Genomic DNA, 27,667 nt, shown 5'->3' on the forward strand with positions numbered 1-27,667 from the left:
AATTATTTTCATAGGTTGGTAAATTTATTGCCTGATCTGTGTTCCAACAGGAAACATGTGCCCAGAAAAATAAATTAGAGAAGTGCTCAGCTGTAGGCTAGTTTAGTTAAGGAGTAATGAAAAGGATAAGAATAGATGATGTGAGTGTAAGAACAGGCTCAGATGCTTTCAGCTGTGTGTTTCTGGTTTATATTATCACCTCTCTAATATAAATCTAACTCTACAGTTCTTTAATGACTCTCTGGGGACCACCACTCACAGGATTAAACACTAAGAAGGGACCCAGGAGAGTGCTGCCTTTCATCTCCTTTGGGATATGTCAGAGTTGTCGATCTTATTTTTTTTTAAATGGTATTCAAGCCAAGGTTACCTAAACTATGCTATAGAAAGGAAAAGAGGAAAGGAAGAGGGAGAGAGGGAGGAAGGGAAGAGAGAAAATGAATGTTGGAGTTTGTAACCCTGGAGGTCTAAACTGGCAGAAGTTTTATTTCAAGCTCTCAGGACCAATGTGCCTTCCTTTGACCCTTACTCATAAAACGGCATCCAAAATACAGGAGTAGCCAGGCTATGTATACCTGTCCAGTTTGGATCCCAAACTGACTTTTGCCTGGCGTTCTGAGGCTTGTGTGAGTCACCTGTCTCATGCTGTTTGGCCATTAATGAAAGAGTTATAGCTTCTCTAGGCCTCAGTTTCCTTTTTTTATTGACTTGAGATCTCTGGAGAGTCTTCTGGCTCGAAAGTTATATGAGTCTATGATTCTGATAGAAGGCCCCAGAGAGGAATAGCGAAGGGGGAAGGGGAAAAGTTCTGTAAAAAAGGCCAGCTCCATGACTTTGGCAGCTATAGGGGAGGAGGGAAGGTGATCCTACAGGCGCTCAGACTTTCTAAGCATTTTCCACCTTCTGCTTTATTTTTTATATTGGCCTCTTTTTCCAAGACAAAGCTGGCACATGAGAAGTATTAGTGCTCAACACAACCTCTTCTTCAGCTGCTTTTTCTAAGTTACCACAGGACACTAGATTTCTTTCTTTTTCTGAGGAGCTGTGAACTGGTGATGTTGGAAAGGTTTCTGGCAAAACCCAAGCCACTGCTCTACAGTCTATACACAGCCTCTCTGTAATCCAAAGAAGTCCTCAGTTAGAAGGGGGTGGAGTTGGAGAGAAGTAGGTCCTCCTTGTTTCATTTTTAGCACTGGTGTGAACCCGGGTAATCTGAAGACCACATCTGGGCATATGTATGCAAGAGTGATTGTGGAAAGTACAGCCACTTCTCTCCACCAGCTTCCTTGCCCAAAAACCCACCCTTTCTCCCTCCACCCACGCACCAGCCAGAAGCCACCCTTCATCGCCTTGGTTTATTGTCATATTTTTGTGTTAATACATTCTGTTGATCTGCAATGTCAGGTTGGATAATGAAATTTAAATTGAGTCCCTTCGATTTCCAATAGCGAAACATTTGTGCATCTAACTCCGGGGCTGACAAACAACTTAAATGCATTCTGGAGTGTCAGTCACACAGCACTGGCACCCGACACTGCAGCGGCTTTCTTGGGGAGCTTTTTTTTTTTTTCCTGGTGAACATTTGCAAAGGCGTCTGCCCAGGATGCAGTCAACCTGCATCCTTATAGCAAACTGGCTTATCAGAGAGCAGAGACTGATGAAGCAAATGCGTGGGCCACCCATTCCCTTATTTTCTGGCCCCCAATAGCCAGTTCTTTAAAAAAAAACACCAAAGGGGGAGAGAGGATAAAGAGACCAAGAACACCAAATTAACTGACATTTTCTTCACCAATAAATAAGAAAATAAGGGTCACTCACTGTATTTCAGACTGATCACAGCAACATCCAGATGGAAATCCAGGTGGTTAAGAACAAGAGAAAACGCATGATCTTGATACCAAAAGGAATAAAAATTAAAAAAAAAGGAGGTTGATGAAGAAAAATCCAACTGCAATTATCCGTCAATTTTAGTCAACATAGGCACAAATCCAACTGTGCTCTGCTGGTTTCTCTCCCCCAATCAATGCCTCAATCTGCCGCGGTCAACTTTTCTTCTCTGAAATTTCTTTGCAGATGTATTATTAATTTCCTCTCCTCTTGTGGGAAATTCAAAAAGAAAAGAAAACACCACCACACCAGTTCTTTACTTTACTAAAAAAGCCCCAAACTTTTCATTCCAAAAATATCTCCTTGGCTCACTTTCTCCTTTATAGAGAAAAATGAACATACTTTTTTCTTTGTGAATCCTCGGTTCTTCATTTCCAATCATCCTTTTTTTTGGGGGGGGGGAGGGGAACAGCTGCTTTAAGATTATTTATTTATGTCAGAACACACCAACCCCCGCGGGTCTAACTCTGGTTTATTTCATTCTTGAATGCTCCCTGTGTGCACATATACACATTTGTGTTAAGATCCAGGGCTCACAAGAAAAAGCTTCGTTCTTCCTTCTCTCTTGCACAATCAGTTTATCCATTGCGTTCGGTTCCAGGAGAAAGCTGCGTCCTGCATCCTTCATTTTTGCAAGGCACCCAACAGCCACCACCACCAAAAAAAAAAGTCTCCTTTTACATGGTCAATTCCTCTCCCCAGCCTCCCCTTCGAAGAATTTGGGGAGCAACTTCCCCCCCACTCTCCATCCTTCCGGCCGGCCCCTTCGCCAAAGATCTGATTAGATTTCTCATCACAACCCAGTGCGCAATTGAATTTTTGATTTCAGCCACCCGGCCAGCCACCTTCCCCTCTCCCCTCCAAACTCCGGTTATATCCTGTCTCCTTCCCTCCACCGCCTCTGCAATTTCATAATCTCACGTTAAATGGAGTGCGGGGGGCGGGGGCGGGGGCGGGGGCGGAGGTAGTGGAGGAAAATTTCAAGGCTCCGTCAGCTGTCAAGAAGAAACCCATTCCTCCCCCCGCTACTTTTTTTTTTTCTTTTTAAGGCTCGGGGTGCCTTTCCTTCCTCTGTCCCCGCCCCCACCCCCAGCACCCGGTCCAGATCCTCCAGGTGTTGCAGAACTCCGCGGTCGGGGCCGGGATCACGGGGGAGACGCAGGATGCGGTCCCTCGCCGGTGGCCCCTGCCAGCCCCCGGGTCCCCTTCTCCTCCATCAGCCGGTAGTGGCTCCGGGAGCGCCGAGGTGATGGAAGTTGAGACTGGGGCTTTTATTTCAAATGGGGAGGGCGAAGTGAGGGGACAGACAGGGTGGTAGGCAAATTAAAAAAAACACACACGAAAAAAGAAAGAAAAAAAGAAAAAGAAGAAAAAAAGAAAAAGGAAGAAAACGGGTAAAAAAAAAATTCCCTAATCGCTGGCTCTTCTCATCCTTCTCAAATGCAACTGCAGCTTTGATCTCATTTCCAGCTGCGTTGGGTACATTTTGGAGCCACAAGTTGGTTCCCGTTGGCGCAGACCTTCCCGATGTCTGCTAGTCCTCTGCGAGGAGACGCGTTCTCGGGAGCGCAGCTGCTCCGCGCCGCCCTTAGCGCCATCGCCCTGGCTCACGGCTCCCTGCGCGGCAGAAACCCCAGTCCCCTTCCATCCACTTCGGTTTGAACTCTCTTCCTCCCCCTCCCTCTGCTCTCTCCCCTCTTTTTCTCCCAAATAAATGCTCTCCCAGCACCGGCGGCAGCTCTTGCCAGCCCAGGCTTTCTCTCGACCAATGCCACGTCCTGACGCTTAGGGTCCTAGCTTCCAAAAGCTCCTTTCGGACTGCAGTCGCCTTCCCTCCTCTGCCCCTCTTTCTTTCCCCTTTTCCTTTCCCTTTCTCTGCTTGTGATCAGTAAAATACAATTACCCAATTACCTCCCATCATCTTAGCACTGATTGGTCAATTGCATTAACACTTGAAGTCAGGGAAGAGGGGATTGGAGCTTCAGAGATGTGGCTCTGCTGCCACCTGGAGGGCAGAGCCAGAACAGCTGAGTCTAAAAGCAACCCCCACGCTGGGAGGTTCAGGCTGTGTGGGAGAAGTCAGTTTTTTCAAAAAGCTTGCCTGTTTTCATCCAGAAATCCAGGAGTTTTGAGCTACAAAGAGGAAGACATTAAAATCAAATCACCACTAAGATTCAAAATTATCACCAAACACACAAAGCTGTTGCTTTCAGGTTGCAGGTTAAGAGCCTCTCCCAGTCAAGCACACTGGTCCCAAGCTGAGGATTAACACAGTACTATTGCTTAGCCGGGCGCGGTGTCTCACGCCTGTAATCCCAGCCCTTTGGGAGGCCAAGGTGGGCGGATCATGAGGTCAGGAGATCGAGACCAACCTGCCCAACATTGTGAAACCCCGTCCCTACTAAAAATACAAAAATTAGCCGGGAGCGATGGCGCGCGTCTGTAATCCCAGCTACTCGGGAGACTGAGGCAGGATAATTGCTTGAACCCGGGAGACGGAGGTTGCAGTGAGCCGAGATTGGGCCATTGCACTCCAGCCTGGGAGACAAGAGCAAGACTCCGTCTCAAATAAATAATAAAAATAAATAAATAAAAAAAAAGAATAGGCTCATCAGAAAGAATCCAGAGTAGCTTAAAAGCTACTCGGGAGGGAGGCTGCGGTCGAGCAGGATAATCTTACCAGGAGGAAGCAACTGTAAAGGCGAGATAGTAGCCTTCAGCCTATGCAGTGTTGCAGTAAATTGGCCTGTTCAGTTTGTACAAGACATCCAGGACAGCTTGACAACTCAATTCCAACATCCCCTGCTCCAGGATGTGGACTTTTCCATTAACTCGTGTTAGAGAAATAGTTGGCACATTTCAAATTCACTGGGTCTCCTTAGAGGGACTGGGCCAACAAAATAATGCTATTAATATTATGTTTACATTGGTTTCTTTCTCCAATGTATAATTTTCATAAGGCCCTTTCAGTTAATCTATGGGCATTCACTTTATGTCATTTATGTATGTAACCTTGAGATAGGAATCAATAAAATTAGGAATGATAATTTAAACAGTACTATATATATATATATGGAATAGATTAAATAAATGTTCCTCTGTTTTGTATGCCCTAAGTGATGATCTTTGCACTGATTTTCTTTATTTTTGAGAGAACAGAATATGTACTTGGTTTAAAAACAGTTTTAAAGAAAGTGAGTAAATCATAACGGAAGGTAGCATCAAACAGAAAGGAGAAAAGATTTATTAAGAGAACATCAGAGACATATCTAAGTTTATACAAAATGCTATTTTTTTCCTCTTCTGTTCCCATTATACTCCACGGTATTTCCTTGTTTGAGTTAAAAAAATTTCATCTGTAATGTTCTTTGCATACTGAGAGCATGCTGTAACGTGCATCTCAGATGTCAGTACATGCAAGAGGAAAGACTTTTCCTTACACATGGATTGTGATTTATTGTAATTTCCCCATCTTTTTGGAGAGCTTTGATGTTATGAATTACATGAAAATGTGAATTTCTCGAGGGTTAATGGCATTGCTTCTATTTTTAAGTGAATGCTGTATTGATTGATTCAAAACACTAGTGGGCAGTTGACTTTAATTTGTGTTTTGAAGCTCTTACCCTTATATGCTAATTATAGTTTATCCACTAATAAACGATTAAAAAGTACATTCACTAGCTGCACTAGATAGCTTCAAAGGAGTCTATCCTCTGATTCTGAAGTAAGCTAGAAGCCATTTGAAATGAAAATTTTCTTTTTAGGGATTTTGACAGCAAAGGAAGGCCAATGATTTGTTTTTTTCAGAGCTGATTATTAGCTCTCTACCAGACATCTTTAATACTATCAGAATGAATTAATCTATTAGGCAAAGCAGCAGGGACAGGTAAGTGCTATTTGGCCAAAATGGAAAAAGGAACAGCTTCTCTTTCCTGTTAACCTTCCCCTTCAGCAGCTACAGTATCTTTACCCACATCATTGACTCATTCACACTATATGACCTTGAATTCGTCACATGGCTTTCATTTTTAGATTTAGATTGAACCAGTCATTATTGAGCATCCATATGGCATGGTTTTTTGTTACACTTTTCTCATATATATCACCTTATTTAGTACTCAAAACAACACCCTGAGAGATTTTGAAGATGGAAAAAATGAAGCTTAAAATCACAAACTTGGTAAATGACACAGCCAAAATTTGAACCCAGATCTACTCAATGCCAGTTCTTCCAGTTTTGCGATAACATTAAGGTTTTGGTAACATGGGGAACAGCTGTATATCAATTATCAGCATGCAGGCTGTCATTTTCTGCCCTGAATGCCAGGCATGAATTTGTAACCCTTTCAGAGGATGGCAATACCACATTTGTCACTGAATGACCTCACCCAAAAAGAATTGGAATAAGTAGTAAACAAGCTAACTGTCATGAAAGTACACATGCAAACCAAATTGTTGCTGAAAAAAAACATAATTATAGATATTTATGCAGTAGAGGTTGCCAGGTACTATTAACAATGACAGAGTATGTGTTCAAGTAAAAATTTCTATAAAAGCTCTTTCAGAAGAAATAATATTACACCACCACCCTTCCCATTAGCCCATCTAGTTACCAAAAGCATGGAGAGGACAAAATGCTTATTGAAATGACATGACTTGGGAGAAGAGGAGGCACAGTGCTAGCATGCTAGATTTGTTCTACGGACATGCAGATTTCTACTTTTGTTCTTCTCTGATTTGTAGATGTGAGACATTAAACAAAACTGTTATCTTATTTCACTGTATGTTCGTGACTATAGCTGGTGTAATCATTAGCAAACAGCAGGGGACAGCATCTTGTAATCAGAAATACAAAATAGCAAATAGAACAAATTCAGTAACTTTGCTTAAAAATAAAAAAGTGAATGTGTCTATTGTGTTTATTAATTGGATTTAACAAGCTGTAGGCAACTCTATTGAAGCACAATACATACTTAAAGTTTGTGTCTTTATGCTGTGTTATAAATCCTGGAAATAAATATTCTCTTTTCACTTCCAATAGTATTACATAGGGACCAGAATATCCTCCGGGATAATCGTATCAAGCTTGCCTGTATAGTCACACGTAATGACATGTGAATTAATTTCATTAAAACAACTTATTTTTTCAAAACTACTTTGAATTTAAAATTCAATACTCAGCAGGAGTTTACTAAACATGTTACATTAGATAATATTCTATAGATATTGTATTTTGGAACTAGATGATATCCTAATAATCCTCTATTCTTTATTTCTTGAAATATAGATAAAAGGTCCTAAAGTCCTAAATACTGATGTGCAAATTTCTGCTTTTTTTTCAAGGTCCCCCGCCGACCCATGATGGCTACTCCTCCACTCAGCCCTCATCCCATATAGTCTTATTTTTTGTTCTCTCATACTTTTTAACATTTGTTTTAATAACTAGCATTTAATGAAAGCTTGCGAGTGCCAAGCCTGTCTCTATGTATGTTACAGATTTCAACTCATGTAATCCTTCCAACAATCTTATGAAGTAGGTGCCATTGATGAAATTGGACTTGAGGTTAAATAAGGGAACCTAGCTAGGAAGTGATAGAGGCAAGATTGTAACTCAGGTTATTTCATCTCAGAGGTTGTGGTTATAATACATATTTCCTACTATTACTTATTGTGATGGATAGAAATGATTTGCTCATGTCTATGTCCCCCCCAACCTCCAAACCATAATTGATTTCACAAGAGCATTGTCTGTATTTCTAATGCTTTGTACACCGTTGAGTGAATAAACGTCTAAGATAATGCTCTTAGGAAATGGAAAGACCTACATTTTTTGGTCTCTTACCGACTATTCTTTTCACTGTGGTGCACAAAATTGTAAAAAGATGAGATACTTGTCATAATTATTAAAATAGAAAAGCTAAGAGAAGATGCCACCAAATAAGATGATTTCAGCAATGAAGTATAACTTTTGAATCAGTTAGCAATGAGTGCATAATAAACCATTTGAAATCTTAATAGCTGAAAACAACAATCATTTATTATTTCTCATGACTCTAAAGGCTGGTCAGAAATTGGTTAAGTGGCTCTTTTTGATCTTTTTGATCTAGTGGCTGAGTTAACTGCTTGCTGATCTAGAATGGTCTCAGCTATAGTCACTGGTGCAACTGGGCTCCACCCCACATGCATCTCTCTCTCTCTTCTTCAGCTTGGACCAAGCATATTTCTTGGCAATGGCAGAAATCCAATAGAGCAAGCAGAAGATCATGAGTACCTTTTCAGGCTTCTGTGTGAATAGTATCAGCTAACTTCCCACTGGCCAAAGAAAATCACTTAGTTGAGCCCATTGTCAGGGAATAGGGCAGGTCATTCCACCTTCAAGGGGAAGTGTATTAGTCTGTTTTCACATTGCTATAAAGATATACCCAAGACAGGCTAATTTATAAAGAAAATAGGTTTAATTGACTCACAGTTCCACATGGCTGGGGAGGCCTCAGGAAACTTACAATTATGGCAGAAGGGGAAGAAGCATGTCTTACATGGTGGCAGGTGGCAGAAAGCTAGCAAGAGCAGGGAAAACTGTCTTACAAAATCAGCAGATCTCCTGAGAACTCATTCACTATTTTGAAAAGAGCATGGGGGGAAATGCTCCCATGATGCAATCACCTCCCATGAGGTCCCTCCCCCAACACATGGCAATTACAATTTGGATTACAATTCAAGATGAGATTTGGGTGGGGATGCAGAGCCAGACCATATCAGGAGGTTACTGCAAAGTTGTATAAAACGAAAGCAAGTGGAGAATCAGAGTGATCATTGCAATCAACTACAACTTCTCTCCCTTATGAATAACAAAGGTCCTTAGTGATTACTGGGGTTTGCTGGAAAGAAAATGTCCACATTAGTGACCATCTAATCAGTCACTTATTTAAACATATGCATAATGATCCTCAATTACGTGCCAAGCATTATGGAAGTCATCACTAACTCCTCTGTCACCTTTACTTTCCTGATAGCACCTGTTGATGCTGTCTCAGGAATGGCTCACAGATGTGTGCCAAAGAGAGTGTACCTATTTCTCTTTATTACTTTAGAGAGACCACTATCAGATTCCTGCGTGGACTCTGCCACTCACCTTTCTTGTTACCCATTCTAGCTCCTCTCTAGTACCAGCTAGCTTGTGAAAAAGGAAAGTAGATGAGAGAAAAGTTTAAATGAACAAACATTAAAAGGAAAATCTGTTCCATATGTACAATGACAAGATACCACAACATTGAACAAAACTATTTGTAATGCATAGGAAAAGATTCATAGTTTAAATACAAAAATAGTTCTTGAAATAGCTAGCATGAATGGGAAAAATATTTGAAGAGCCAATTAAATGAAGAACTAGTTATTTTAACATGTATTGGGACCTATGTTGCTTAACACAGTGCCTGGTCCTTTGACCTCTTAATAAATTTTGATTGACTAGATGAATGAACTGTCCACTTGGTTGGGGGAAGAATGTGGATAGATAGTAGCTATGCTAATTACAATCAATGGTGAGATAATATGGTCAGAATTTTACAGAAGTGTAAAGAGCTGGGGATGGAAGACAGAGGAGACAGTAGCTACCTCAATGTGGGGCCAGACCAAGAGGATTTCACAAATAGAAACTGTATTAGGCTGTCCTTGCATTGCTATACCAAATACTTGACACTGGGTAATTGATAAGAAAACAGGTTGAATTGGCTCATGGTTCTGCTCTACAGGAAGCATGGTAGCATATGCTTCTGGGGAGGCCTCAGGGAGCTTCTACTCATGGTGGAAGGCAATGTGCGAGCATGGTGGGAGCAGGAGTAAGAGAGAGAGAAAGGGGAGGTGCTACTGACTTTTAAATGACAAGATTTCACAAGAACTCACTAACGTGAGGAGAGTACCAAAGGGGAGGTGCTAAACCATTCATGAGAAATCTGCCTACATGATCCAGTCATGTCCCTCCTGGCCCCACCTCCAACATTAGGGATTACAATTTGACATGAGACTCCACAGGGACACAGATCCAAACCATATCAGAAACGCTAATGTGTTCAAGGCTTCATGAACGTGGATGTAGTTGATGATTGCAGAATTGCCCATTTGGCAGCCAGAGGACAAAGAACAAAACGCATTCTAAGAAAAAATAATTTGTTACCCAAAGATTAACAGAGTTAAAGCTTAACTAACTTACAAACTCAGCTATGGTTGAAGTGATCAACTATTAGATGCCATGTACAGATCCAAAGAGTCCAGCTTTTGAAATACAGTCATTCCTCTGTATCTGTGGGCAATTGATTCCAGGATCCCAGCAGACTGCAAAATCTGAGGATGCTCGATCCCTTATATAAAATAGTACAGTATTTGCATGTAATCTGTGGATAGCCTCACATACATTTTAAATCGTATCTAGATTACTTACCTAATACAATCCTAATACAATGCCTACACATCACTTCATTCTTCAGGATTCAATGTAATACCCAGCACTTGGCAAATTCAAGGTTTGCTTTTTGAAATTCTGTGAAGTTTTTATTTCTTAAGAGGCAGAGTCTAGCTCTGTTGCTCAGGCTAGAATGCAGTGGTACAATCCTGGCTCACTACAGCCTGGAACTCCCGGGCTCAAGCGATTCTCTCACGTCAGTCTCCAGAAGAGCTAGGACAGGTGTGAGCACTGTACCAGGCTCTCTGGAAGGTTTCTGATCTGTGATTGGTTGAATCCACAGATGGGAAACCCACAGATATGGAGGGTTACCCATTGATAATCTTCCTAGGAGGATATCAATCACTAAAGAAGCTTGGGAAGGAAGGGCATTGGCGAAGGGGAGCATGTTGACAGACAATTCTCCCTTTTTCAGACCACATGAGGCAACATGACAAATTTGAGGAGTGACTTAAAGTAATAAGAAGAAAGCTGAAAGAAACAACGGTATGACAATTTGGCAACCACTTCTGAATGGCCTTCAACTCAGTTATCTTTTACATATCCTTTCTAAATAGTGACCCAATCACTTTAAAAACACAATCTCCTTTATTAAATGTTTCTAAGGGAGAAGGTATGTGTGCATAGATACTATGTGGTAGTATTTTTGTACTGTCTAAATTAGGAATCTTTGCACTGGGAAGAAAATTGCCCATAAAGGTATCTTTAAAACTTCACCAGGAATTAGGAGATGGTGTGAATCCAGTTGTGTAGTTTGGGAAGACAGCTGCATTTTATACAGCTAAATCAGCACTTGATACTAAACAATTCCTAAAGAATGTCACTTTATTTTAGCATCAGCCATGCAGTGCAGATTCAAGAAATGATAGCCTTGTTTTCCCCACCGCATTACTATTGTGCTTTCAGAAGATGAAGGCATAGACAGTGCAGATTCAAGAAATGATAGCCTTGTTTTCCCCACCACATTACTATTGTGCTTTCAGAAGATGAAGGCATAGATTTCAAAACTGAGTTCTCTTCACATTGAAGATTCATTTAGCACATCTGTGGTTCCAGGCCTCCAGCTGATTTAGTCACTCGTGATTGAAATAATGTTAAACAATTTGCATTTTTAAATGTCCAGGTCTCTAATATACACACTTTTAAGAGACAAAAATGACTCTCTAAGGGTTGCTGTAGACTTATGAAAAAATCATTTATGATATTGACACCGAAATGGAGACACCTTTATCACCTGAATAAAATAATGCCTTGAAAAATGAAAATAAGTATGTATAAAGAAATAAAGACTTTCAAAATGGAAGGGGCTTAGGAATCCTTTGATTCACTATACATATCTACCTAATCCATCAAAAACTGTGTTAGTTTTATAGGGGCAATAAGAGATAAAATAAATATGCTTGTGGCTAATAAAGACTGTGAGGTATGTCCCAGATTTGTGGTCTCCTTGCATGGAGTGAACACAGGGTGACTGTTACGTGAGTGAGTGTTTGACATTTTATCACAACCTTCAATTGACAATCTTGAAAAGGATTTCTAGTGAAATTTTAAGAATATTTATGGAAGTTCGCATTTTCACTAGGATAACAATTATGTCACATTGAATTTCAATTTTTTACTTTAATTCTTATGAACGTTTCCACAATTTTTTGTTATTGTTCTTATTTATTTTAGGGGTTCCATTAAAAAGGCCACAGGGATTTTTCACTGCTCATACTGTCAATTGTGTTTCTTTGACCTCTATGGGTAAAGAATGGTAAAATTACGATTATCAGAACAAAGTTTCTTTGAAGAGGCCCATCCTTCTTTTCTGTCTTTTTTTTTATTCCTTTATAATAGCCCAAGGCCTGAACCTTAAGCAGTTCCCTTCTCCAGAAAGAATGATACTAAATACAATAATTTGTACATAGGTGCTAACACTTTAGTACTATCCAATTCAATCCATTTATGTATTGAACGAGCAAATATTTATTGAATATCAATTTCAGTGGGTTCTGTATATACTATGACTTAGCAATGCTTTAGTAACTTTTCATCATTTCCCAGACACACTTATATTTTTGTAAAAGATTACTGTATATTTAGAAAGGGTGTATGCTTGATCCAAGAAAACAGCATGGAGTCGAGCCAAGAACAGCAAGTCTGGAATTTCATAGACCTCAGTCTGAATCTGACATTCATTGTTTGTGCTTTAGGAGAACTGCAAATACTTTAAGGCTGGAACTTAAGGGAAATGTGTGGCAGGGAAGAAGATAAAATGCCAAGAAATGAACCTCCATATAACAGCCACATCAAGAATTATTATTTTTTTCTTTTTGGGGAGTTTTTTCGAACGGTAAAGGAACATCACTGAGGGCTAATAAGAAGTGACATGATAAGTTTGGGGTCTACAAAAGTTATCCCAGAGGCAGTATGCAGATGAATCAGAGAAGAACAACGGAAAACCAGAGAGAAATTGGGAAACTTGGAGGTTACGAGGATCTAAACAAAGGCAGAAGATCTGGAGTTGGAGAGAGAAGGGTGGGTATAAGAAATGTCAAGGGTTAGAATCTACAAAGTTTTATTAATTTGCGTATTTGTTTGTGTATGTGTGTGAGTGTGTGCATGTGAGATATTCTATTTGGAGGCCATGCATAACTCTCAATCAATATAATGAAGTACTCCCTCAAAATAATGCTCTATGAACATGGGATGGGCTTCCTTATAAGGGTGATTTTCCTGCCACTGGAGTAGCTCAATCATAGGCTGCACGTTGTGGTTAGGCCTTTAAGGCAAGCTTATATTAGATTAGCAGTTCCTAAACATTGTCCCTGCTTAAATTTCCACTGGAGCTATATGAGAAGAGTAAGGGCATTATAGTGGGATTGTCCTATTAATTACTTGAATTTAAAGCAAGAGTCTTCAATTTGTGATTAATTCTTATAATTTTACAATTAAAACATTTTTTTTCTTTTATTTAGTTTTGTTTTAAAATGCAAATATCTGACAAAAGAAAACTTGAAAGCACCATACTGGGCCACTTTTATGTTCACTTTAAGGACATAAAAAGTGTTAAACTCTGGGCCTCAGCAGACTTATAGCCTTTGAGAGACCTTTGGGCTTTTAGATTTTACGCTTTTATTAGAATATTTCTGCCTGATGAAGTGCTTTCAGGTAGATCAACAGAGCAATGTGATTGAATATTATTCAACCTTTCATAAACCAATTGTCTTAAACCATAATTGCAGGAAATGCTCCCAAAAGTTTCCAAGTGCAGCCTTTTCAAAAGCCAAATTCTAAAGTGAAATTGATGACATCTTACAAACACTTGCTCAAAGGTTCCTTTTGCAGTAAAATACAACATTGAAAAAATGTTAGGAGCCAAATTGCCAACATCATTCACCAAAGTCAACTATTTCAGAAGCTCCCTCCATAGAGGCCTACAGACCTGTATCAAGTCATTTTCCACTTGTAATTTGGGGATATTGAGGGGCCTGGAAGACCTAGCTCTTTTTCCTTAAGGTGCTGCTGACAAGTAATGCAATTAAATTAAGCTTCAAGTCATAGGAGGGTGCCTCTAAGTGCCTGTACAGTTAAATGCCACCGGATTTCAAATGAAAATGATGTGAATTAATTTCCTGGGAAGAACAAAAAGAAAAGGAAAGTCAAGAAGAAACACAGCTTCTGGTAACATAATACGTAGATTAATGGCACCCACTGATTGACTGAAGTGTCAAAAAACACATCTTTCAGATATAAATGAAGCTACTGAAAGAGTTTGGGGTTTTGCTCACTCTCTTTTATTCAAACGAAATATTAACTAATAAAGTCAAGGTAAAATTAGTTTTTCTTAGTATCTTTAACTTCTTCTCTACCTCAGAAGCTACCCTTTTAGACAAGAAAGTCTAGTGAAAGAGGGTAAGATTCATTCAAAGGCATCTTATTATACCAGAAATAAAATTAAAATACCTTGTATTGACTTATAAAATCCTCTTTTACCTGGCTTCAAATTCTCAACTTCTTTTAGACTTTCAACCTTTTTTTTTTTTTTGAGACAGAGTCTTGCTCTGTCGCCCAGGCTGGAGTGCAGTGGCGCAATCTCGGCTCACTGCAACCTCTGCCTCTTGGGTTCAAGCAATTCTCCTGCTTTCACTCCAGTTCAGATCCTGAGCACTCCTGCCTCAGCCTCCCAAGTAGCTAGGATTACAGGTGCGTGCCACCATGTCCAGCTAATTTTTTGTATTTTTAGTAGAGACAGGGTTTCACCGTGTTTAGCCAGGATGGTCTCAATCTCTTGACCTCGTGATCTACCCTCCTTGGCCTCCCAAAGTGCTGGGATTACAGGCATCAACCTTATCCCACATTTCCTGCCCTAGCACTAGCCTCTCCAGGCATATGGGCATTCTTTTAGTGCTCGAATAGGGCCTTGGCCCTAGCTGTTTTCTCTGCCTAGAACATTCCCCTCTGCTCTTTGCAGGCACTGATCTTTTTGATCTTGTAAGAGAGGTCATCCCTCTCAAGCAACTCAATTGGCTACCCCATGTCTATTGCAACATTTTAATTTTCTGCAGAACCCTTATCTGATGTCTGTTTTTATGAATGGAGTTGTCTACCTCTGCTGAAATGTGTTGTCCATGAGAGTACAGACCTTACTTTCCTGTTCATGGCATATACTCCACTCATAGAATGGTACCAAGCACAAAGCAAGTGCAGGATTCAAATTTTTGAATGAATAGCTAAGATGGTAAAAGTTAGATCTGGAAATCAACTGCATAATATTGATAAGAAGTCGAGGTAGAGATTTGAGAAGGCAACAAGCTGTTTCTGTAGCAAATATTCTCAGGTCACCCCTAAGTAAGTCTTAACTGAATGATGACTATGTATCCAGTTGTATTTACATTTGTCAAATACAAAAAAAAAAAAAAGGAAGAATGTATGTTCTTAACTTCTAGCCATACATAGACAACATTGGATAAAAGCCTGGGCTCTTAAGCCCAACACCAGAAGTTTCAGTATTGGCTCCCTTATGTCTTAGCTGTGTGACTTTGGTAAGTTATTTAACCTCTCTAAGCCTCAAAGACCTCATCAATAACCGGTTACACCTGTTCTACAGAATTACAAAGATTAATATGAAGTAATGCAGAAGAATAGTTAGCACAGTTGCTGGCATCCAATAAGCACTCAATTATTAGTCATATTTGCTGTTATTAATAAATGTATGATACCAAGTTGTGCGTTACTATGGGTTCTGTCTTCTACATGTGGTTACTTGACCAACGAGGTTGTTTTTTGGCTCTCCCTTAATAATGTAGCAAATGTGACCAACGAAACAGAACTTCGGCCCATTCTCTTTGAGCAGCTCTTCCTTGGTGTCTCCACCTATGTCATTCAGCCAGACTGCCTGACTAGAGTTTAAAGTCACTTTCATCAACATAAATGTATAGCAACATTAATGTTAAAACTATTTTTTGGAAGTATATTAAGGAAAATGTCATTTTGTCCTTATCTTTCCTATAAAGATTTAGTTATTGTATCTTTAAAAAGGTTAGCCTTTTTCTCTTCCAAAGTGTCAAAAGAAATCTCAAAATATGGTGTGACCTTGAACTAATTGCTTTCCCTTTCCGTGTCTCAGTTTGTCTGTTTTAAATAAGTCTAATAATTCCTAACACAGCAGCTGCTCACTTCATGGTAGTGAGGTGAAAATTAGTTTCTCATGTTCAAAACCAGAGTCACCTTCAAAACTGTCCCCGATACACACCCACACATTCATTTATGTTCCAGGTTCTTTCATTCTCACATGGACAAAGTGTATGGCATGTGTCCCTTCCTTTACACTCTACCTGCTTTCACTCCAGTTCAGATCCTGACCACTCTTCCCATCATATGCTCCTGCCCCAATCCAACCCACCCATGGCTAATACACAGTCAAAAGCACCAGCTGTGATGCAAAGCAGCATGGTCCACTTATTGAGTGCTTACTCTGTGTCAGGCACTGTGCTCAGCACTTCATGTGCACTGTCATTTCACTGTAGCTCCAATGATTGCCACGCCCACGTTCAGAGACTCTCATTAGCTGCATGCCTATATCCCCATTCATTACCCTTTATAACATGGCCCTGAGCTTGTACTGCCATTCACTATTTAATGATCTTGGGTAAGATGTGCTATGTAATCTCAAAAGATCTCGATTACTCATCTATAAAATAAGTGAAAATAATAGTACAACCTCACAAGGTTATCTGGTTTTTTTTTTTTCTCTCTGTGGCACAATTGGTATTTCAAGTTAGATATCTATGTATCTATGTATCTATCTATCTAATATCTATCTATCTATATACAATTTTTTTTTGTTTTTGTTTTTTTGCTTGGGGAGGTGCCCTAGGTCCTGTAGGATGTTTAGCAGCATTCCTAGCTGGTACCCACTAGATGGCAGTAGCATCCTCTCTTCCCCACTCCACCTCCTCACCCCCCATTATGACAATCAAAATGTCTACAGACATGAATAATTCTCTCCTCCCCACCGCTCCACTGAAAACCACTAGGGTGTTGGGATGAGTAAATTAGATAGTTTTAAATACTGGACATAAACTGTCCCTTTCTTTCTTTCTTTGAATGATTGGGAGAAATTTGCATGTTCCCTATTCCCCAGCATAATCAATAGAATTGTGGCTCCCAAGATTAGTCCTGAATTGTCCTGCTCCCTTGCCTGTGTAGCTCTGTCTACTGCAACACTCTCCCACCCAGCTTCTGCCTTGCAAATGCCTATCCATCCTCTAAAATTCTTTTTCCTAGGGGAAGTTTCCCAATTCTTTCCAACTGCATGATATTTCTCCCTCTAAATACTTTCAAATGTCATTTTTGTTCAATCACGACCTTTGCCTTCTGCCATGTTGTATAGTTATGTATATAATTGTATCATCTCTCCTGTTGAAACTGAAAACTGCATGAGAATGAGATTCATTGTTTTGTGTCTTTTTAGCCACCAGATAAATGAGCACAGTTGCTGGCATATATTAGTTGCTCATTAAATGTTTGTTAAATTTTATTTAGGACACAAACGAAACAAATGACTTATTATAAAGAAATGACTAAAAATGTTAAAGTAAACTAAAAAAAAGTTAGAGAATACAAAATTAAACTTATCTCCAGATGCTTGTTGAAATAGTCATATAATTGAGCCAATAGAGGTTTATTGTTTAAATTATTCATGCAACTGCCTTAATTCTCTGTTTCTCTTTGCACATGTAGGAACAGCTGAGAAAGAATTATAGTTGTCATTTGAAAACTATTAAGTGATTTGCCTACTGATGGAATTTGTATTATTTCGCTAGAAACAGAATTTATCAAATAAAGGAGGTACAAGCAAATCTACATTATTGCTTTATTAATCAAAAAAGAGAGCCAAGGAGGCACTGCTAGTGTGGAGTGATGGCACTGATACTGAACCTTTTTTCCCCCCATCTCTTCCTGTGATTTCAGAAAACAATCACACTTTCTCCCCCACCACACATACAGTTGTTTGCTATGGCAGGTGCAATTCTCTTTTCCCAGAGAGTTTGAAATCTAGCCAAGCTTATGCATGGCCGCTGATGCAGTTGTGATAAAGTAGAAGAGAAACTGATCTTCAATTTGGGAAACATGGATTAAAGATCCAACATTAACACTTCATAGCATTGTAAATATGTTACATTGAATAATGCCTCCCCTCAACCTCCCCAAAATGTCCATATTTGAATCTCTGGAACCTGTGGCTATGTCTCATACATGGCAAAAGGGACCTTGCAGGTATGATTAAGTCACAAATTTTGAAATGGGAGATTATCCTGGATGACCTGGTGGGTCCAATGTAATTATAAGGGTCCTTATAAGAGAAAGGCAGGAGGTCAAATACCTTATACTGTCAGTTAACATAATTGCTGGGCAAGTGACTCAAGCCAACCACAAACTTTTTTTTTCCATGGACTATAAGAAGGGAGAAACCCTTGATCCACTGAGGTGGCCAAAATGAAGGAAGGTGAATCTGTAGTTTGGGAATTTCATTGCCACCACATACGAAAGCCAGCCCAAGAAAAATGTCAGCAGTGACGGAAGTAGAGCTATGAGATTAAGAGTGATAGATTCTATGTTTCAGCTTATTAGGTATTGAACATCTAGATCTAGTCATACTTGAAGCTACTCTGGTTACATGAGCCAATAAAACGGACATGCATATGAATCATCAGAATGGGCTGCACCATCCATATTTCTACCAACATTCTGTTCATGATCATATAGGTATTCTCAAAGAAGTATGGAACTTTCTTTACAGCTCACTTCCACTCCTTCTGAGCCCTCACCAGAGTCACCCTTAATGGTTTGTTCACACCAGTACAGGCTGTATTGTAGCATATTCACGGTTATGCAACCATCACCACAGTGTCATTTTAGAATATTTTATCATCTGAGAAAGAAACTTGGTACTATTAGCAGTCATTCTCAAGTCCTCACCCTGCCATCAGTAAACACTAATCTACTTTCTATTTCTATAGATTTGCTTATTGTATATTCAAATTGATATATATATCCATATCATATTCATATTCAATATTTCATATAAATGGAATCATACCATGTGTGGTCTTGTGTGTCTGGCTTCTCTCACTCAGCATAATCTTTTCAAGGTTCATCTATGCCATACCACATATCAGTATTTCATTCCATTTTATTGCCAAATAATATTGCATTATATGAGTAGACAATATTTTATTTCAGTTATTATTATTACAGGGTAGAATATTTTTGAGTGAACACGACAGAGAAGAAAGGAGCAGAAGTGTATTTTTTTTTTTTTTGAGACAGTATCTTGCTCTGTTGCTGGAGTGCAATTGCACAATCTCAGCTCACTGCAACCTCCACCTCTACGACTCAAGTGATTATCCCACCTCAACCTCCCAAGTAGCAGGGACTGAAGGTGTGCTTTACCACGCCCAGCTAATTTTTTGTATTTTTTGTAGAGACGGATTTTCACCATGTAGCCCAGGCTGGTCTCAAACTCCTGAGCTTAAGCGATCCACCTTCCTGGACCTCCCAAAATGCTGGGATGACAGGCAAGAGACACCATGCCCCACCAAAAGTATGATCTTAATGGCTGCTCAGGCCCCCAGAAGCAGGAAGAAGATATGTTTGACTAGAGAAAGGAAAGGATGGTTGAGGAGGGATGCTGAACATTCTGTGGAAGCATGCCAGAGGCCCATCTTCTTCCCTCCTGCTGGCCCTGCCTGGAGTCAGGGGAATAAAAGGTGACTGGCTCATCCTATATGGAGGCAACCTAATGTAGAAGAAAGTACTGCCTTCTTACTCACTAACTCGGTTAGCTTGGGAGAGTCATTTAAGTCCGTGAAGTATCAGTATCCTCCAATCATCCCCCCACTTCTCCACTTATTTCCCGCAGCCCTATTCTTACTTCATGAATAATCATGAAGATCATATTTTGAAGAGGGTAAAAGTATTTTATAAATTGGAACATATTTTCAAAAGTACAACCATGCTTCAATAGAACAGTGTGCTAGAGGCATTTTGAAATGCTTTCTTATGAAAGGAAAATGCTTTTGAGGTCCCTGAATTCCTTAGGAATTCATAGGTAAATAAGGAATGAATCAGAACCCCAAAGTAACTATTGTGGTTAGTTGAAAATGGGCCCTAACAGACTCTGATGCCCTTCCAGGTAGCAGTCTATCTTATTCATCATTGTACCACATTGCTTGCCACAATTTATAGGCTATAGTAACATCAATAAACCTATTTTATTGAAGGAAAAATCAGAACTCTCTATAATCGTGCATCAATCGGCACATGCATGATTTGTGTGCTGTATCCTCCAATCATCTTTATTAAAGTAACAAAAAGAAGCACTAGCTTAGCTTACATTTAATGAGCATGTACTATGTGGCAGATACTGTGCTACACTCTTATAAGCATTAACTCACAACAACCACCCCACCCCCTCCATAAAGAATTCAGGGGTGACAGAAGTAATATGTTTTTTAAGTTTAAAAGCTAATTTCAATGCTGACTGTATGCTGGTTTGATTTAAAGTCAAAGCCTTTAAAAGGACTTTGGTTTACTTTATTTATTAGAATTAAGCATAATAACTATATATTATCTCATTTCCAAAGACTGGGTCCTAAAGAAGAATCCAAAGAGTTTTGTTTTGTTTAGGGTCCATTTGAAAATATTTTGAAAACCATATGCATTAATTCGGGATGTGATACACTGTATGGCTCACCTGAGGTGGTTCTTAGTTCAAATTATAGTTTTTAAAGATACTGAGGATTCCTTAGATCCTTTGTGTCATTATCTCTGCCAAAACAGAAAATATCTCCATATTCTGTGCAACCATACTTTATCCTGTCATTTTTTTTCCAAAACTTTTCAAAACTCAACTCATCCATAAAATCTTCTGTGATCAAGGCGGAAGCCACCCAGACATTCTGTTAATATCCTCAGTGTGATTGATATTTCTCTCCTGCAGTATGGCAAGATAGCATATGCGTATATGGGCAAGCGTATCTATCTTTATGTTAATGTGCATCTGTTCCTCTTATCTCTACCATACTATTAAGATATTAAGCTCTCAGGGCCTGTCTTTGTTTCCCTTCACAGAAGACAGCATTTATCCTCCTGGGTAACCCTAGTGCCTAATTTTGTGGCATAATGTACATGTTCAGTAAACGTGTACTTAATGAGTGAGTGCTCAATGAGGACAATGACAACATTGAAAGAAAATCTCTTTCTGTACACAGAGAAAATAAGATCACATACAAATAGAAGTTCTAATAGTTTGCCTTCTTGGGCATTTTATTTTTAAGTATTCTCAGCTGAAATATGCTGTACAACAGCTGAGATTTAGCAGGTAATTTTTATTTCACCTCTGTTTTCCAAAAGGTTGCCACTTGCCAAATGCACCACACTTAAAATGTGCTTTTCTGACCGGGCACGGTGGCTCACACCTGTAATCCCAGTATTTTGGGAGGCCGAGATGGGCGATACACAAGGTCAAGAGATCGAGACCATCCTGGCCAACTTGGTGAAACCCTGTCTCTACTGAAAATACAAAAATTAGCTGGGTGTGGTAGCATGTGCCTGTAGTCCCAGCTACTTGGGAGGCTGAGGCAGGAGAATTGCTTGAACCTGGGTGGCGGAAGTTGCAGTGAGCCAAGATCGTGCCACTGCACTCCAGCCTGGAGACAGAGTGAGACTCTGTCTCAAAAAAAAAAAAAAAAAAAAAGTACTTTTCCCCTTTCATGTACATTACAGTGCTTTATGGTTTTGTATGTCTCAGCATCTTAAAGCTATGGATTTCACTTATGTCTTGTTATTTATCATAGATGTGGGTTAAGGCCAAAGAAGGGAACTCAAGATGAACTATGGAGTTCTAACTCACCAACTCCCTTCTGTTGATACATAAAAAAAAGTTTGAAAAATTTAACTTCTGAGTTGCGTGAAACTCTTGCTTGGTTATACTTTCTGTCAGTTTCTTTGAATTATTATTGTTACCTTAATCGATAACAGTAACCATAAATAAACAATAGAGCCACCAATGCTTGAGAAGATTTGAGTCATATTGCCTAGATTTTAATCCCATTTCTACCTTCTTTCCATTTGAATGATCTTGAACAAATAAGTTATTTTGCTTTTGTCTTCCTCCTTCTTTGAAGTAAAGGTGAAAACAGTGCTGTGAGATAATTCATGTAAAGGAGCTTAGTTCCAGCCATGTGCATGGGAATTTATTCACATCATTTATTATTACCTGCCATTATTTTTAGGATAGTGGTATTGATAAGTAGACTGGGTTAAGTAAACTCCTCCATGAATAGATGTCTTCAAGACCTTTTAAAAAAGGGATTCCCAACCCTTCATAGCACCAACCCAGTTTTACCCAAGAATGCTAAAAGAAAGGCAAATTCAAGGGAATCCAGAGCTATTGAGGGGTTCCTGTTTTAGTCTTATTTGCAAAAGGATTTTCCTTTACCTCTCAGATACTAACTACTCCATGAATACAGTATGGTCATGGTTCCAACAGTCTAGCAGAAGGACAGTGTCAACAATCTGGATGAAAATGTAGTCAGCTTAACCCGAAAGACATTTATTTGAGCATTTAATTGCTTTCAGAGATTGGACAGCAGTTACATGAAGGCTCAAGCTCTCCCAAGCAACATCTTGATACCTTCACTGACCAGGTGCCCTCTCTTTTGCACTTTACAGGCTTGCAGAATTGCTAAGTCCAACATTTTTGCCACTCATCCACTCCTTTCACTGAGACCCAAATGTCTATCACGCCAGAAGTGGTCTTAGCTTTACTTTACTGGTGAATGGCAAATATATTATTGCCTGTCCCTTTCACCATCCTCAAAGTCTCTTTTCAATCTCTACCTCTGGACATTACAACTCACATTCTTTTTGTTTTGTCCTATTTGTAATCGATCAAATAGATTTGTTTATGTTAGTTTTTACTCCTCGCCTCCTCCCAGGCCTTTCACCATGTTGCTGGCTGCTACAGCCCTTCAATTCTGTGACTTACCACAACAGGCAGGAGTTATTATCACTGTTATAGATTAAGGCAGAGGAGTCATGATAACATGAAAACATGACAAATTCACAGGGCCAGTGAACAGAATAGAGAACCCAGAAATTAATTCACATATCTATAGCCAACTGACTCTTGACAAAGGTGCCAATGTCATACATTGGAGGAAGGGCCATCTGTTCAATAAATGGTGCTAGGTAAACTGGATATCCACACGCAGAAGCATAAAACTAGAGTTTTAAATATACAAAAATCTACTCAAATGGATCAAAGTCCTAAATGTAAGACCCAAAACTATGAAACAATTAAAAGAAAACATGCTAGGAGGGGAAATTCTTTTTTTTTTTTTTTTTTTTTTTTTTGAGATGGAGTCTCGCTCTATCACCCAGACTGGAGTGTATTGGCGCAATCTCGGCTCACTGCAAGCTCCACCTTCCGGGTTCACGCCATTCTCTTGCCTCAGTCTCCCAAGTAGCTGGGACTACAGGCGCCCGCCATCATGCCTGGCTATTTTTTTTTATTTTTAATTTTTAGTAGAGACGAAGTTTCATCCTGGCTACAGGATGGTCTCGATCTCTTGACCTCGTGATCCGCCTGCCTCGGCCTCCCAAAGTGCTGGGATTACAGGCGTGAGCCGCCGCGCCCGGCCCGTGGGGAAATTCTTTAGCACATTGGTCTGGGAAAACATTTTATGAATAAGACCTCAACAGCATGGGCAACAAAAGCAAAAACAAATAAATGGGATCACATAAAACTAAAAGCTTTTGCACAGCCAAGGAAACAATGAACAGAATGAAAAGACAACCTACAGAATGGGAGAAATAAGTTGCAAACTATTTACCTGACAGAGGATTAATATTCAGAATATAAAAAGAGCTCAAACATCCTGACAGCAAAAAATAAAAAATAAATAAAAAACAGAAGACAAAAACAAAAACAAAGCAAACAATCTGATTTTTTAAAAAAATGGCTAAATGATCCGAATAGATATTTTTCAATAGAAGGCATACAAATGGCCAAAAATACATGAAAAAATGTTCATCCTCGCTAATCATCAGGGAAATGCCAATTAAAACCAAAGTGAGTTATCATCACCCCAGTTAGGATGGCTATTATCACAAAAGAAAAACAAAAAAACAAATGCTAGGGAGGCTCTAGAGAAAAGGGAACTCTTATACACTGTTGGAAACGTAAACAAGTACAACCACCATGAAGAAAAGTATGAACGTTCCTCAAAAATCTACAAATAGAACTGCCATGTGATCCAGCAATCACATTACTGGGCATTTATCCAAAGGAGAGGAAATCAGCATAAGGAAGAGACATCTACATTCCCTTGCTTATTGCAGTATTACTGGCAATAGCCAAGGTATGGATTCAACTCAGGTGTCCAAAAACAGATGAATGGATAATGAAAATATGGTATATATACTCAATAAAATACTATTCAACCATAAAAAAGAATAAAATTCTGTCATTTGCAGCATTATCAATGGAACTGGAGGACATTATGTTAAGTGAAATAAGCCAGGAATGGAAAGTTAAATACCACATGTTCTCACTCAAATGTAGAAGCTAAAAAAAAGTTGATCTCATAATAGTAAAAAGTAGAACAGAAGATAGTAGAGTCTGGGAAGTGTAGGGGAAAGGGAGATGGAGGGAGATTTGTTAAAGGATACAAAATTAAAGTTAGAAAGGAGGAATAATTTCTTGTGCTGTATATCACTATCGGACAACTGTAGTTAACAAAAATATACTATACAGTTTCATAGAGCTAAAAAGAGGATATTGAATGCTTCAACAAGAAGAAATAATAAAGGTTTGAGGTGATGAATATGCTAATCAATATATATTATCTGTATTGCAGTATCACTGTATACTCCCAAAATATGTACAATTATTATGTCAGTTAAACAAAATTGAAAAAATAAAATACTGCACAGACAGGAAAAAATGAAAAAATTAAAAAACCCAATATGGATTATAAAGGGATGGCGTGTGTGTGTGCATGTGTGTGTGTTTTAGAGGAGGAAGAAGTCATTTTTATCCTTTAAATAGCTTTTGCTTAGTTTGCAATTTATTTTATTCTCCTAGTTTATGTACCTACATGTCTATTTCTCATTTTAAAACAAGGAAATATTACCCTCATATAATACTATTATCTAGATATTTTTCTACACATATAAATGCCTAATATATGTAATATGTAAAATTATTAATGTCACATTTACATTTCTTATAATCAGAAATTTAAAATTAATATTATGAATATATTCCCATATCTATACATTCAGAGCAGCAGCATTGTGAAACACTGTATAGTGTTTCATTATATCAATAAACTATATAACACAGTCTATTTTTAGTTTTTTAAGTTGTTTCCAATATATTGCAACTGCTTACAATACTCTAATGATCATGCCTGTAGATATGTCTTCATTTGTCCACTGATTTATTTGCAATCTTAGAAAAGGAAGTGGCACATTTTAAAGACATTTGAATCACGTAACATATAGGTCTCTGACAGGGTTACACCAAATTATACTCTGAACAGCGGTTTATAAAAATGCTCCTTCTCTAAACTCTTAACACTACAGGATGTTTTAATTTGGTTTTAAATTTAAAGAGCAATGAGGAGGCATCCCATAGAGCTTACAATCTCCCTGAGTAGGGCTACATCAGATTTATGGTGTACAGATTTGTTAACCAGGACCGAATCATGGGAATGTGGGCATGTTTGTTCTATTAGCAAGATCTCTATGAATTAGATCTAATAACTATTTTAGCCACTACCAATATAGCCACATTTCAGAGAAAACCCAAACTGGAAAAAGTCTATGCATTTTTTAATCAAAAAAAATCCCACAGATGTGATAATAGCAAATATTCTTTCAGTTCTCTTTAGATTGGAGGCAATAATATTGTCTCACTTGAAATTATGTAACTCATTATAGACATTGGGGGAATCCAATTTATAGATATGTTTTCAGAAATAAGTAGAACTCTATTTGTTGCTAGATAAAAATGTCAATCATAAAGTAACAGCCACCACAACTTACTCATGTAGATGTCTAGTTTTTGTGAATGAATCAGAAACCTGACAAGGCTGTTTGGAACTTTACTTGTTCCAATCTGTTGCTTTGTCCAGTTAATCAGTTAATGACCTTTTGGAAGACAATAATTCTCAGTCCCTCTACTAGCAAAAAGAAGACAGAAGTAAACATCAGTAGGGATATGGCCAAATCCTATTAGTATAAATTCAGATAGGACAAAAAATCTGCATGACAATGCTTACAGGCAACAGAAAATGAAGAGTTATGATAGTTAATCAAATGAGTGGTTGTATTTTCTGATCTCTAGGCGTTTAATAAACTTTCACAAAGCGTTCTTGGAAAATTTCTCTGAATATCCAAACATTCTATAGAACTTGTTATGCATTTATTTATCATATGCGTGACTGTAAATATCATTAGAAGCTTCATAAATCTCAAGGTAAAATTAAACTTAGAATGCTTTCACTATGATGTGATTTGGTTAAGCTGTGATTTATGGGTGCCAGGAAACCAGATAGCCTTGAATTTCTGAGATAAACTCTTTAGGATAGACCCATTGGAGATCTATATAGGGTTCTCTTAAGTTACCAGGTTTTTTAAAAAAATTTAGTTCCCTAATATGCTAAAAAAGATGTTATAAAGGCTGTGGGAAATGGGAAAAAGGGAGAAAACTGGGATTTACTCATTCTAAATTAGATGAGCAAATGTATATTTTGGAAAATAATCTCATACATTTATAATCAATCTAACCATTTAATAGTTTATTCAACTAATGTTTACTAAAATTCAATGATGCAAACATCTTTTATTGAACTTAATCTGGGGAAATTCTGGGGTCTTCAGTAAAGGTCCTAAATTAGGGTATTTTGTTTTTTTTTTTAGGAGCAGGACATCCTACTGACTTAGGACTACTTTATTCCTTTTTAAATATTGTTTTGCAAAGTATTATTGGATTTGGCTCTTTCACAGCAGTCCTAGTCTTTCCATTTCCTGATTATTCCTCATTCTTGTTTCATCACAGTATTTTAATTTTCTAGGGTTAGGTGTCCCTTTGCATAATGGGTTATACTTTCCACAGGATCTAAGCACAACTTAGTATCCAGACTGAAATCTTAGCAGAAGGATGCTCTAGCTTGAAATTCTAGAGCTGACAATAAATTACATATCTGTCCTGTTCTTCACCAATTCATAATTTACTGACAATTGTAGCCATGCAGGCAAGTTTCTCAATGTATGCATTTGTGATCATATTTCCTGAAACCCATGCCCTTCTATGTGTTTCATCAAGATACTGAAACGTCTCTCTGCATGTCTCTTGGTCCATCCTACATGTTCCTTCCTGAGATCACCTTCTCAATTACTATATTAACTTTACTTCCTTCATGGTTTTATTAGTTCACATATGGTTTTTGCCACTCATTACCAAGTTACAACACTACGCTACTCTTTTTATTTAAAGGTAGGAAGCAGCTTATTTTAAATCTAAAGTATTCCCATTCCATTCTTAAGAGGAAAGATGAGAGAAACCAGGTTCCTCTTTTAGAGAGCAGAAGTCCATATTCTCTGCAGCAGCAGCAACCTGGTAGCAAGGAGTAGACTCTTCCTTTCAAAGTGAACACAGGCAGGATCAGAACCTTTATACATGTAACCATACATTTAAGCTTACATATTAGCTTCCAGAGGTATAAGTTTTTAGTGTCAAATTAAAAATATTGATCAGTCTAG

At 38.6% G+C, this 27,667-nt stretch overlaps 1 protein-coding gene across 25 annotated transcripts in view; it reads right to left on the reverse strand.

Annotated features, from left to right (window-relative positions):
• Positions 1-27,667, reverse strand: part of LRRC4C (leucine rich repeat containing 4C) — a 1,345,454-nt gene that overhangs the window by 176,176 nt on the left and 1,141,611 nt on the right. For 7 of the 25 annotated variants that reach the window (NR_047674.1, NR_047673.1, XM_017018074.3 and 4 more), the window contains exon 1: positions 1,819-2,756. The exons of the other annotated variants lie outside the window; for them this stretch is intronic. The gene's annotated coding sequence lies outside the window, so the exon portion shown is untranslated. Of the gene's footprint in view, positions 1-1,818; positions 2,757-27,667 lie in introns of those variants that run through there. 25 annotated transcript variants of the gene reach the window in all.

Source organism: Homo sapiens, chromosome 11 (assembly GCF_000001405.40).
Source record: "Homo sapiens chromosome 11, GRCh38.p14 Primary Assembly".
NCBI classification, from domain to species: domain Eukaryota; kingdom Metazoa; phylum Chordata; class Mammalia; order Primates; family Hominidae; genus Homo; species Homo sapiens.